Source organism: Homo sapiens, chromosome 17 (assembly GCF_000001405.40).
Source record: "Homo sapiens chromosome 17, GRCh38.p14 Primary Assembly".
In the NCBI taxonomy this organism is placed as follows: Eukaryota; Metazoa; Chordata; class Mammalia; order Primates; family Hominidae; genus Homo; species Homo sapiens.
In genome coordinates this window covers 19,389,232-19,403,542 of record NC_000017.11, presented here as the reverse complement: position 1 = coordinate 19,403,542, position 14,311 = coordinate 19,389,232, and the positions used below count along the sequence as shown (strand labels likewise).

General features: G+C 45.9%; 1 annotated feature.

Annotated features, from left to right (window-relative positions):
• Positions 11,524 to 12,437: an enhancer, noted in NCBI's record as "H3K4me1 hESC enhancer chr17:19294419-19295332 (GRCh37/hg19 assembly coordinates)". NCBI's record gives its function as "activates a minimal SCP1, AML or CMV promoter by ChIP-STARR-seq in primed H9 embryonic stem cells {active_cell/tissue: H9 hESC(primed)}" and the evidence as "EXISTENCE:reporter gene assay evidence [ECO:0000049][PMID:30033119]".

The window sequence follows — 14,311 nt, the reverse complement described above, 5'->3', positions numbered from 1 at the left end:
CTGCATCTGAAGGATGAATATGAGGTGGACAGGCAAAGGAATGGGGACAGGCAAACAACATGTGCGGCAAAGAGACCAGCCCATGCAAAGACACAGAGCTGCAAGATAAACAGCTCACCTGGAATGCAGCATGTGAAGCGAGGAGAGGTAAGGGTGATGGGCCAGTCACAGAGAGGTGTGTAAGCCCTCCCTTGGTGTCATCCCTTAGTCCATGCCTGTACGTTGCTTTCTTGCAGGGCTTGGGACACCTGCTGTCCTGCTGAACCAATGGCCTCTGGGTGCTGCTGGCTGTAGTGAGCTGGTGTCCATGCCAACATGGCTGCCTTCCCCATCCGGGTCCTGACCCTGGCCCCAAGGTGCAGCAGCATCTGCTCCCTGTGGCTGCCCTCCTCCTGTCCCCCAGGCCCAGTGGCCCTCCTTGCTCTCGCCACAGCTGTGTCTGTGCCAGGTCCCCTTGTGTGAGCATCAAAGGCCAGGCCTTCCTATCAGCAGCTGGAAGGAAGTCAGAGCTCCCCAGCTTTACTTCTGAAGCCCCCCATCATCAATCTGGTACTAGGCATCCTGAAACAACTAATAATAGTACAATTATCCAACATTTGCTTAGCAATTTAGGGCTCACAATGTGTTGTTATGTGCCCTACTACCTCAACTGATTCTCATAATACAGTGACTATTAGCCCTGCTTTCTGAATGAGGAAACTGAGGTTTAGAGAGCTAAGGAAACCTTCCAATGACAGCCCTGGAAGAAATAAAATGCCCTGACTCCCAATCCCGGGCCGTCCCCTCCTTTCTGGCCTGCTGTGTGCTGTGGTCTCCCAACATTCACACCTCCACACCTTTGCCCCAGCCACTCTCCTTGCCTTGAACACCCTTGCCAGTCTCTGCCTGCCTTCATGAAACCCATCACCCAGGCCCAGGTTGGCTCAGAGTTTCTACAGGGAACCCTTCCTCATCCTTCTCTCTCCTCCCCTTTGCTCTTCAAACTTATGAAATGCCTCCGATGTACCAAGCATGTACCCAGAGTGATGCTGGATGCAGAGACTACAACAAATAACAAGATGTGGTCTGTTAAATAAGATTTATAGGAGGTTATTGGTCTGGATTGAGCTCCTGGATAAGCTCCAACAGATCAAACCAAAAAGGATTCACTCATGCTGAAGTTCCATGCTACAAAGCCAAAACTAAATTGTTTATCTGATCTTCCAAGAAATCAGGACACAAAGAGATAATAGCCAAATCCCCAAACAGGCCACTTTTAGCCAGCATGATAGGAAGTCCCCTCTGCTTTAACTTTTACAAGGAAAGTAACTTTGAAATCAGTCTGCTTTTTGTTCTGTCTGCTTACTTCAGCCCTTTTTGCCTGTAAAGCCAATCTCCTCTGTTCAGCTCGTCAAATAATCATTCTGTTTTATAAGAATGAGGTGTTGCCCAATTCTAAAATTTCAAATAAAAGCCAATTAGGTCTTTAAACTAAATTTATTGTCATTTTGTCTTTTGACAGGTCCCTGCCCTGAGGAGCTCAAAGACTATGTGCAAACAAGGAAGCAGCTGCCTTGCAGCACATCCCTTGCTGTATAGGAGCTGCCCAGGGAAATGTGGGAGCCTGGAGGAAGCCCCTCACTCAGACTTGGGAGTCAGCAAGGCTCAGTCTTGCAGGATAAGGGAGTTAGCAGGGTAAACGTTGTTGAGGGCTGGGACTCCAGACACAGGGGACAGCACGTGCAAAGGCCTGGCAGTGAGTTGGCAGGGCAGGTTCAGTGTGGGTGCGGCTGGAGCACAGGGTGAGGGCTGGCAAGAAGGAAGGATAGAGGCAGGGTAAGGGGACCAAGGTCAGTCAGCAGGGAACAGATGATGGAGGGCCATGTGGCAGATTTTTGGATTTTTGCTGCATGTCAGTGGAGCCATAAACTATTTTAAGCAGGGATACATGTGAACAGATTTGTGTTCTTGAACCATTATTCTGAGCGTCCACCGGGACAGACTGGAGGAGACACCTTGCTACTTTCAACAGCCACTTTGCATTAGGCGCTTTTGAGTACTGACAACATCCTCGAGCTAGGCCTCTAGTGACAGACATCTAGAGCATTGCTAACATTTTGCTATAACAAATAGCACTGTAGCACATATTACTATTCTTACCCCGTTTCCACTTGGGTAAGTATAATTTAAGGATATCTTCACCAACACAGAGCAAAATCATACATATTGATCTTTGCTGATTTTGGCTACAAATGTTAAAGGATGATTTTTGTCTCTTATGCAGGGAGTTTTTCAGTTATCTATCTGCCATGTCAAAAACAGCTTTACTTTATTTTTATTTTATTTATTTATTTATTTTTTATTTTTATTTTTTGAGATGGAGTCTCGCTCTGTCACCCAGGCTGGAGTGCAGTGGCAGGATCTTGGCTCACTGCAACCTCCGCCTCCCGGATTCAAGTGATTCTCCTGCCTTAGCCTCCTGAGTAGCTGGGATTACAGGCGCGCACCACCACGCCCAGCTAATTTTTGTATTTTTAGTAGACATGGGGTTTCACCACGTTGGACAGGCTGGTCTCGAACTCCTGATCTCGTGATCCACCCGCCTCAGCCTCCCAAAGTGCTGGGATTACAGGTGTGAACCACCGCACCCGGCCAATTTTATTTTATTTTTTTGAGATGGAGTCTTGCTCTGTCGCCAGGCTGGAGTGCAGTGGCACTATCTTGGCTTACTGCAACCTCTGATTCGCAGGTTCAAGCAATTCTCCTGCCTCAGCCTCCCAAATAGCTGGGATTACAGGTGCCTGCCACCAAGCCCAAATAACTGGAGCCCCATCTTTTTAACCCTCACAACCCTTGAGGTGGATATAAGCCGCCCACTACCCCACACACACACAATTTTATAGATGAGAAAACAGAGAATTGGAGAAGTTAAATTACTTCCCCAAACCTCATACCAATATCTCATTTGAAGCTTTAACAGTGAAAACAGTCAGGCCTGGGGTAGCCCAACAAACATTTGCTGGATTTATTGAAAAAAGTGGGAAAGACAAAATTCAAATATGGGCTGCCTCTCCAGAGCTATGAAGCATGGGGCACAAGGGGTGGGGTGAGGGTGGGAGGGTGAGGACAGGAAGGAAGGTGGGCTTCAGAGGCAGGTTCGAAGCAGGACATACAAGTTGGGAGGCACTAGCTGATGAGGACAACAGGGGAGAAGGAAGTCATAAGAGTCAAGTTAGAAGACACCTTGAGCACCCTTCTGGATGTCCACACTGGCTAGCAGTCCCTGGCTGCTGGCAGCCAACCTACCATTAGGTATCATCTCCCCTGCTCCAAGTCAGAATCGAGACCAGGCTCCAGACCCCTCTCCTCTGCTGTACCACCCCCATTCCAACTTGCATACTGCCCATTAGGACCCTGGGACTGGAGTATCCAGGCAGTCAGCCAGGAAGTTGACAGATGTGGCCAGCTGGCCCTTGTGGAGCAAACTTCCCTCCACAGACTATGCCCAACTGGATCCAGGACCCATAGACCCCTCTGGAGTAAGAGGCAGCCCCATGCAGCTGGTTTGATAGGCAGACAATGGAGCCAGAGGCCTGCTGCAGTCCAGGCCTCTGCATGTAAGCCTCTGTTGGCCCACTGACCTATGCCATCCTTCAACCTGACTGGCAAGGTTATGTGCGTTCTGGGCAGCACCCAGGCTGTGGCACCAAACAGGCCTTGGTTCAAATACTGGTTCCACTCAACTCACTAGGCAAAGTCACTTCTCTCACTCAAGCTCAGTTTCCTCAGTGGTAAAACTGAAGATACAATTACTCCCATGTAGGGTCAGTGCAGAAAGCCTGGTGAATAGTAGGTGCTCAATAAATGCTAGCCTGGTTTTTTGTTTTTTTGTTTTTTTTTTTGAGACGGAGCTTGCTCTGTTGCCAGGCTAGAGTGCAGTGGCACCATCTTGGCTCACTGCAACCTCCGACCCTCTGGTTCAAATGATTCTCCTGCCTCAGCCTCCCAAGTAGCTGGGATTACAGGCACACACCACCACACCCAGCTAATTTTTGTGTTTTTAGTGGAGACGGGGTTTTACTATGTTGGCCAGGATGGTCTCGAACTCCTGACCTTGTGATCCGCCCGCCTCGGCCTCCCAAAGTGTTGGGATTACAGGCATGAGCCACCGGGCCCGGCCAATGCTACCCTGTTAATCAGCCTTGGAAGCAAGTCTGGGCCACTTACCTCAGTGTGCCCAGATGTCCCCAAGCATCAGTCCTGCCCCATCTTGGATCTCAGACCAACCCCCACAAGACCTCGCCTCTTTTTCTTTGTCAAAGGAAAATCCAAGAGATTCTTACAGAAGAAGGGCTTTTTACACAGTAGGCCTGAGAACAGACATCCAATGGATAAAGAAGTACAGTTTTCCATTAGTTTATTACAATGATAATAATGATCATGTCTATTTACTGGGCTCCTACTATATGCTGAGTCCTTGTAACAACAGAATCTCCCATCCTCCCCACATTTCTCTAAAGGTGAAAATATTGGCTCCATTTTACAGATGAGGAAACTGAGGCTATCCAAGTGACCTGCAGCCAAGCCTATCTCCTATCTAGTCTCTACCATTTGTTTCTCTCTGTCTCTTTCTCTTGCAGACACATGGTATTTCTTCTTCCTCTCTCTCTAACCCCATTTGCTCTCCCTATCACAACACCATAATCCAGGGCCGGGCAGAGCAAAGCAGCCACAGCAGTCATGTCCTTAGCAATCCATAATACAGCATGTTTGCTGACAAAATGAATGTGGAGTACAGTTAGGCAACAGGAAATTAACAGCTGACCCCAGAGGTCAGGAAAGAGGGTGTACAAAAACTGAAATGTGCTTCTGCTTCCTGACAATGAGTCTGATGCCAGAAAGAGCAGAGGTTCCCCACCCACATCAGGCAGCCCTGGACTGCTTGACCCTGACTGATGACCCAGTGCCAAAGAGGAGGGTGGTGACCCATGGAGCCCAGGCCACCCCACCCCACCCACAGGAGCCATCAGGGACAGATGATGGTGTCTGAGAACACTCAGGCCATCAGTCCCTCCCCTGCCTCCCACCAATCCATTTTCCACCTGGCAGCCAGCCCAATTTTTTACAGATGCAAATAAAAATGTGTCACTCCTCACAGGAAGCCTGCTGTGGTGCTAGGAATCTGGGTGGTAGTTCCCAGGTACACATTTGTAAATACTGGTCTACGTCACTCTATGTAACTTAGGCCTCATAATTCTTTTTAAGGAACTTCCACTTGTGGGAAGATGGAGTAGGTATATTTTTTCCTGTACTTCCTGCTAAGTACAACTAAAAACCTGGGACATCACGTACAAGACAAACATGAGAAGACTCTGAAAGGTGGAGAAAAGAAGGCAGGCGGGCCAGGGACATCAGGACTGAGGACAGTGGCGACTCTCCTAGGCTTTCTTTTTGTCTCATTATCCCAGAATGGGTACTGGAGAAGCTGGCAGTCTGGAAATGCCAACAGCCACTACAAAAAAAAACCCTCAACAAAACCTGCTATCTGTAGCCAAAGGACCAGGAAAAGGGCGGCCTGGCAAGACAGAAAATTCCTAGGCAATAAATACCCTACTGCAGCCAAACGCCACAGGAAAGTATGCAGCTCCACCCACCCATGCCACAAAGGCTGAATGGGGAGACTAGACCTCCTCCTGACTAGGCAGTAACGAGGGGTCCCAACATCCCCAGCTGGGTGGTAACAGAGAAGGCCAAGTAGGAGCCAGGACTTGCATCCCAGCCATTACAGGTGCTCTCCCTGACCTTGCAGTGTTAGTGGAGACCACGTGGGGAGCTGAAACTTGCACCCTGTCCAACAGTAACAGGGAATCCCCCTCTTAAGTGTCAACAGAAGCAAACTGAGGAACCTGGACTTCTACCCCCACCTGGCGGTACTGAGGCAGTGCCACCCCTTTCCCGGCCAGAGGGGTGTCAGAGGCCAGCTAAAACAAGTTTAGGCTGGGTGTGGTGGCCAACACCTGTAATCCCAACACTTAGGGAAGTCAAGGTGGGTGAATCACTTGAGGCCAGGAGTTCCGGACCAGCCTGGGCAACATGGTGAAAGCCCATCTCTACTATCAGGTTGATGCAAAAGTAAGTGTTTTTGCCATTAATGGCAAAGTCACAATTACTTTTGCACCAACCTAATAAAAATACAAAATTTAGCCAGGCATGGTAGCATGTCCCTGTAGTCCCAACTACTTGGGAGGCTGAGGCAGGAGAATCGTTTGAACCTGGGAGGTGGAGGTTGCAGTGAGCCAAGATTACGCCACTGCACTCCAGCCTGGGTGACAGAGCAAGACTCAGTCTCAAAAAAACAAACAAACAAACAAACAAAAAACAGGTTTAAATAAGACCCAGCGTTTCATAACATAATACAAAATGTCCACGTTTCAATCAAAAAGTATTAATCATATAAAGAACCAGCAAATCTCAAACTGAATGACAAAGGATAACTGATAGATGCCAACACTGAGATGACTGGGATGTCAGGATTAGCTGACAAAGGTTTAAAATGGCTGTGATAAAATGCTTCAATGAGCAACTGCAAACACACTTGAAACAAATGAAAACATAGAAAGCCTCAGCAAAAAAAAAAAAAGAAAGAAAAGTAAAAGAAAAAAAAAAGAAGGAGCTATAAAGAACCAAATGGAAACTTTAAAACCAAAAAATACAATAATCAAAATAAAAACCTCAGTGGATGGGCTCAAGAGCAGAATGGAGAGGACAGAGGGAACAATCAGTGAATTCCAAGACAAAACAATAGAGCTACCTAATCTGACAAAAGAGAGAAAAAAGACTGGAAAAAATATGAACAGACTCATGGACCTGGGGAACTATCGTACAACAAAGATCTAACATTTGTGTCACTGGAGTCCTTAGAGGAAAGAAGGAGTGTGAGGCAAAAAGAAGTACTCAAATCAATAATGGCTGAAAACTCCCCAAATTTGACAAGAGACATAAGCCAACAACAGATTAAAAAGGTGAGCAAGCCGGGCTCGGTGGCTCACGCCTGTAATCCCAGCACTTTGGGAGGCCGAGGCAGACGGATCATGAGGTCAGGAGATCGAGACCATCCTGGCTAACACGGTGAAACCCCAACATGGTGAAACCCCGTCTCTACTAAAAATACAAAAAATTAGCTGGGCGTGATGGCAGGTGCCTGTAGTCCTGGCTACTCAGGAGGCTGAGGCAGGAGAATGGTGTGAACCCGGGAGGCAGAGCTTGCAGTGAGCCGAGACTGTGCCACTACACTTCCAGCCTGGGTGACAAAGCAAGACTCTGTCTCAAAAAAAAAAAAAAAAAAAGGAGTGACCAAATCCTAATCAGGATAACTCCCAAAAATTCATGGCAAAACACATTATAAATTTCTGAAAACTAAAAACTAAGAAAATAATATATAAAGCACCTAGGCAAAAATGCTTTATTTACAGGGGGAAAGCAATTTAAATGACAACAAACATCTCTTGAAAAACCATGGAGGCCTAAAAGATGTATCACAATATTTCTCAGGAAAAAAAAAAAATCTCCAGCCCCACGTGATTTCCCTGAAGAATTCTACCAAACTTTTACAAAAGAATTAACACAGGGCCAGGCTCAGTGGCTCATGCCGATAATCCCAGCACTTTGGGAGGCCAAGGACGGAGGATTGCTTGAGCCCAGGAGGGTGAGGCTGCAGGAAGCCATGATCACACCACTGCACTCCAGTCTGGGTGACAGAGTAAGATCCTATTTCAAAAAAACAAACAAAAAAAAGAATTAAAACTAGTTATATAAAATATCTTCCAGAAAACGGAAGGAAAGAGAAGGAAATACTTCCCAATTCATTACAAAGCTATTATGACCCTGTATCAAAACCAAAGATGGTACTTAAAAAAAAGTTCAGACTAATATTCCTCATGAATAGGTGCAAAAATTCTTAACAGAATATTACCAAATAGAATTCAGCAATATAAAAATAATTCTACACTATGACCAAGTGTAATTTATTCTAGAAATGAGAGATTGGTTCGATATTTGAAAATCAATCAATATAACCCACCAAGTGAATAGGCTAAAGAAGAAAACCCATAGGATTATATCAATCAATGTGGAAAAAGTATTTGAAAAAATTCAACACCCCATGAATGATAAATTGTCAGAAAAGTAGGAATACAGGGGAAATTTCTCAACTTGATAAAGAGCATCTACAAAAAACCTACAGGTAACATTATTCCTAACAGTGAAAGACTGAATGCTTGCTTTCTTTTTTTTTGAGACAGGGTCTGACTCTGTCACCGTGGCTGGAGTGTAGTGGTGCAATCACAGCTCACTGCAGCCTCAATCTCCTGGGCTCAAGTGATCCTCCCACCTCAGCCTCCCAAAGTGTTGGGATTACAGGCGTGAGCCACCGCACCTGGCCTTGGATGCTTTTTTGCTAAAATCAGGAACGAGGCAATATCTGCTCTCATCATTCTTATTCAACACAGGATTAGAAATTCTAGCCAGTGCAGTAAGACCAGAAAAGGAGATAACAGATATACAAATAGGAAAGGATGAAATAAACTTTCCCCTATTTGCAGATGACCTAATTATCTATGTAGAAAATCCTAAGGAATCTACAAAAAGAAGGGGGAAAAAAAGAACTTGACTTCTATAAATATTAACTCAAAGTGGATCACCAACTTAAATGTAAAATTATAAAACTAGAAAAAAATAGAAGATCTTTGGGACCTAGGACTAGGCAAAAAGTTGCTAGATATAATACCAAAAACACAATCCATTAAAGTTGATTAATTCAACTTAATCAAAATTTAAAATGTTTGCTCTATAAAAGACTGGCCCTGTTAAGAGGATAAAAAGACAAGCCACAGAATGGGTAAAAATATTTGCAAACCACATAGCTGACAATGCACTAGTATCTAGAATACATAAAGGTCTCTCAAAACTCCAGCAGTAAAAAAGCAAATTGTCCAATTAGAACATGGGTTGGGGGAGCGGGTGCAGTGGCTCATGCCTGTAATCCCAGCACGTTGGGAGGCTGAGGCCAGAGGATTGCTTGAGTCCAGGAGTTAGAGACCAGCCTGGGCAACATGGCAAAACCACGTCTCTAAAAAATATACAAAAATTAGACAAGCATGGTGGCACACGCCTGTAGTCCCAGCTACTTGGGAGGCTGAGGTGGGAGGATGGCCTGAACCTAGGAGGTTGAGGCTGCAGTGAGCTGAGATTGCATCACTACACCCAGCCTGGGTGACAGAGCAAGCCCCTGTCTCAAAAATAAAAGAACATGGGCAAAAGACATGAACAGATTTTTCACTGAAAAAGATATACAGATGGCAAACAAGCACATGAAAAGATGTTCAACATCGTTTGCTATTAAATAATTCAAATTAAAATCACAAGACATCATTACATACATATAAGACTAAAAGTAAAAAATAACGACAATACTAAATGCTGGCAAAGATATGGAACAGCAATCATTCATTGCTGGTAGGAATATAAAATGGTACAGATACTTCAGAAGATAGTTTGGCAGTTTTTCACAAAACTAAACATAGTCTTACCATATGATCCAGCAATCATGCTCCTTGGTATTTACCCAAGTGAGTTGAAAATGTATGTCCACACAAAACCTGTACACAGATGTTTATAGCAGCTTTATTCATAATCACCCAAACCTGGAAGCAACCAACATGTCCTTTATTAAGTGAATGGATAAATAAACTGTGGTACATCCAGACAATTGCATATTATTCAGTGTTGAAAAGAAGTAAGCTAACACACCGTGAGAAGACATGCAGGAAACTTAAATGCATATTGCTAAGTGAAAGAAGCCAATCTGAAAAGGCTACAAATTATTATATGATTACAGCTATATGACATTCTGGAAAAGATAAAATTATGGAGACACTAAAAAGTTCAGTAGTTGCCAGGGGGTTAGGGGGAGGAAGAGATGGTTGGCAGAGCACAGAGGATTTTTAGGGAAATATATAATACAGGATCAATTTAAGAGATTCAATATCCAACTAATAAAATTATCACAAACAGAACAGAGAAAAGGGAGGAAAGAAATAGCCAAAGAAGTAATAGAAAAGAATTTTCTCAGAACTGAAGGAAACAAACCTCCACTCGCTGGCCAGCACAATGAAAGACTCAACCCCAGGACTCATCAAACACAGGGCTAGGGACTGCTGTTTCTCCATAAACGGCCTCCAAGTACCCCTCTTATCCCAATTATACACATGCATTTGTTTATTTAAACACAAAAAGACCTCTAATCTGTATGCTTTCTCCCCAGTTATGTAGCATCTACACATCAAAGTAAAATCAGGAACCTAAGTTACATTATCTCAATATACCCTAATCCCAAAGGCCCTTGGGATCAAGTTCAAATGTTTTAGCCTACATTCAACACCCTCCCCATCTCTAATCTGCCTCTTCTCTCTGCCACATCCTGAGCTCCATCAACTGATCTTGTCCCAAACTATAAAAAGGTGGGGAGAGACACTAAATCCCTCCTAAAACCTTCCCCCATGTTACAGAAATAAGACAGAGTGTTCCCCACCACAAAATGTCTGTGTCTGCCCTTGGACACAGAGTTTGCCATTACCATCTCCACACTACGGCCTTCTGGACATGCCCTGTTCCAAACTTTGGCCCCACTCCTGCTACCTTCCTGCTTCATTTTTCATAGTACTTATCATTTCACTTTACTTTTCTTTCTCTTCTGTAGCTCCAGGAGGGCTGGAGATTCTGTCTTGTGCACGGTTGCCTATAAAGGGTTAAAGAGTGCCTGGTGCTTCTAAGATGCTTGTTATGGGATGAATCGTGTACCCCAACATTCACACTGAAGCTGTACCATGCACTACCTTGGAATGCAACTATATTTGGAGATACAGCCTTTAAAGAGGTAGTTAAGGTAAAATGAGGTTACGAGGATGGGCCTGATTCCAATCTGACCTCATATTCCACAGCACCCACTCGGAACACCACATCTGTGTCCTGCCAAATGATGACTGTGCGAGCCCCTGCCCCCTCTCCTCTCCAACTCGGGTAGCCCTAGGCTTCACCCGTCTTCCAAACAGTCGTTCTCACTTTGCTGCAGCAGCGGCCTCTGGGAAAGGGCCCTTGGGTTTGGGCAGCTCAGCCTGTCAACCCAAGTCTGTCCTTCTGGCACACAGCTCCTCTTTCTTGGAGCCCCTTTGCTTGGCCTGGGTTGGGGGGACCCACCATCTCTTCTCCCTAGGTGCTCTCTGCTTTGATGAGTTTCCTTCAAAAACTCTCCTCAGGCTTCTCTAGCTCCGGATACAGGAGGGTGGATAAAGGAGCAGTCTAGCTGCCTGCCAGCAAGACACACAGGGAGGTGTCTGCACCTGCAGAGAGAATAGGGGTCTTGTCCTTAGCTGTTGTCCAAAACAACAGAAAATGCTCCACTCCACAGGCTGCTGTGCTTTTAGAGGAAACCAAAGTAAGACCTTGAGTCAGTCAGGGTCCTCTCAGGAAACAAAGGGTGAACTCAGCTGTTTGGGTTTTTTTTTTTTAATTCAGAGAATTTAATGAAGGGACTATTTACTTGGGTGTGAACATTAAGAAAACCAACATGGGGCATTGAGGCATCCTGGGGCTAGCAAGGATGACAGCCCTCATCATCCCAGCCTAAGGGGCAAGGGGAGGAAACAGGGTTACTGGAGACAGTGAGGGAGGTTATGGCAGGAGATGTCATCAGGAGGTGGGGGGGAGGGGCGGGAGGGACAGCGGGCACAGCTACGGCCAAAACTGCAGTGCTCATCAGGACAGGAGCTGGGAGAAATACTTCAACCTCTCTCTTCTCCCATCTCCTGCTGGTGTCTCCCATTAGTCAAACCCAGCTGGAAGCCAGGGGCCATGGAAACCCAGCGATGTCCTCCCTACAGGGCAGCCCCCACACCAGGCACAGAGGAGGATGTGGGTGGATCAGGGAACGCAGAGAACAACCAGCACAGGCCTAACCCAGGGGCGGAAGCCATACCAACTTGAGCAAATGTCTTACCAAAATGACATCGAGGAAGCACAGGGGGTCATCTGTTTTTACTGAGCCATCTGGGTTTGACAATATTACAGCATACATTACAATGACTATTACAGAGGGTATTTAGTGGAGACTTTTTTGTACACTTGCAGCCACTTCTCCTCCTAGTCTCACACTCGTTTTCTGTATTATAGTCAGGGATGCCTCTCTCCCTGAATCAGTCCAGTTTCCATCAAGTAACACTCAGGTTAGGACAATTTGAGTAGCATTTAATAAAAGGACTATTTGCTGAGGTGTAAGCAGGAGATGGCCCCCTATCTCTGGGCTGGTAACACCAGGGCTGTCAACACCCCTAGACCTGAAGCGGGCAGAGGAGGAAGGAGTCACCCACAGTGAGTCAGGAGGCTGTATGGAGATGGCTACCTGGCAGGACTTGAGACTGTTGGCTGAGAAACAAAACCAGTGTGTGGGGACTCTACAAGGAGGGGAATGAATATTCCTACTTCATTCTCCTTCCCGCTGAATCCTGATAAGCTCCTCATTGGCTGGACCCAATCAGAAACCAGAGGGTGAGGCTGGCCTTCCGGGGCCCAGGGCAGTAGGGAGAAAGGTGGGGAGGCAAATGAAAGGTGTCCAACTGCACTCCCCTTGCCAAGGGATGCATAAAATTACCCAAGCAAGGCCAATGGGATGGACCCTCCTCACTCCTGGAATCTGGCAGACAGACAAAGCCATAGCCATGTGCATTGAGCAGCATCAACCCAACATTGTCCCACCACAGGACCCCCACTGAGGGCCTGCTTTCCAGAGCCCAGGGCAGCCTCAGCTCCCACCCACCCCTAGTCTAGACTCCCAGCAAAGCCTCCCAACAAAGTCAGAGTTAGTGTCTGTTGTTGGCAATGACAGAATCTAGACACAAACATCTTTATGCATGTGAGTTGGGGGTCTCTTTCAAAAACATCAGCAGGCAGAGCAAACTGATCACTGGGAGGGCTGAGAACCAAGCTCAGGGCTTTGCAGCCTAAGCCTAAGCCAGTGTCACTCAGCACTGTGCTTGCCAAGCCACCACCAACCACCCAGAGAAACTAGGACCCAGACAGCACTGGGGTCACCATCGCCCCAGGAATGGATTCTTCCTGCTTCTGCTTCTCAAATCACTTTCTCCCAAAATGAAGCCCAGGACCGTGCATTTTATCAGCTAAACCAAGGCCATGTGCCTTCAATCAAACTGCAAGGAACCCTGGAAATGTGAACACCCAGCATTCTAGTTAGGAGAGGAACACCCCAAATGTGGGAAGAGGTTTCCCATGCTGGGCAGCCAACAAGTAATGTCCCCCAGCTGTATCTGTAGCCTCTTCAACATGTCAGAGTATTTCCTCCAGACAACACCTTAGAAGGATTACCGACTCTGGGCATGTTATTACCAAATTTCTTTACCACAAAAGTTAAACTAATTTCCAGCCACATCCAGTGAACACAGTGCCTGCTTTGCTGCACCCACACACATTATTGCATTTTTTAAGTAAAAACTAATTGGCAAAATGTAATTGATACCTCGTATCTTAATTCTCTCTTTTCTAGGGGGAGAAGGAGTTTCTATGTTTGCTCATTAGTGGTATTCTCCAAAAGTCTTCAATACTTGACTTTGGACCATTTTAGTATTTGTTTTGATAACTGATTTTTTTTCATTATTTTCCCTTTTATAGACTTGTGTTAAAATTAGCTGGCATTTGCTGAAAGAAGAGATCAGGATTAGATTCAGCTGTGTGTAACAGAAAAAAAAACAACAGACACTTAAAATACATAGAAGTTTCTTTCTCTCCTGCATAAAAAAGGCCTAGAGGAGGGCAGTCCAGGGCTGTTTTTGTACCGACTCCACAAAGTCGTGAGAGGCTTTGCCAGTTCCTCCTCTGCCATTCCCTGATGAGGCCTCATCTTCCTCATCCCCACTGTCCAAGGTGGCAGCTAGAGCTCCAGCCATCACATCCAGCAGGACAGAGGGCAGGATGAAGAGGGACAAGCCACCTACCTTTACAACATACCTGTTGGCATCTTGTTGGCCAAAATTCAGATGTGTGACCTCACCTAGCTACAAGGGAGGCTGGACAATGAGCCCAGATAAAAATCAGGATCTTACTACTGAGGACTAAGGGAAGAACGAGTATTGAGAGCCAGCCAACTGTCTCTTCCACAGGCAAGCATACAAGCTGTGTTGAAGACAACCCATTCATATGAGAATCATGATGTTTATGATGACGATGACGATAGCTAATATTTACTAAATAGCTGCCATTTGTAGGC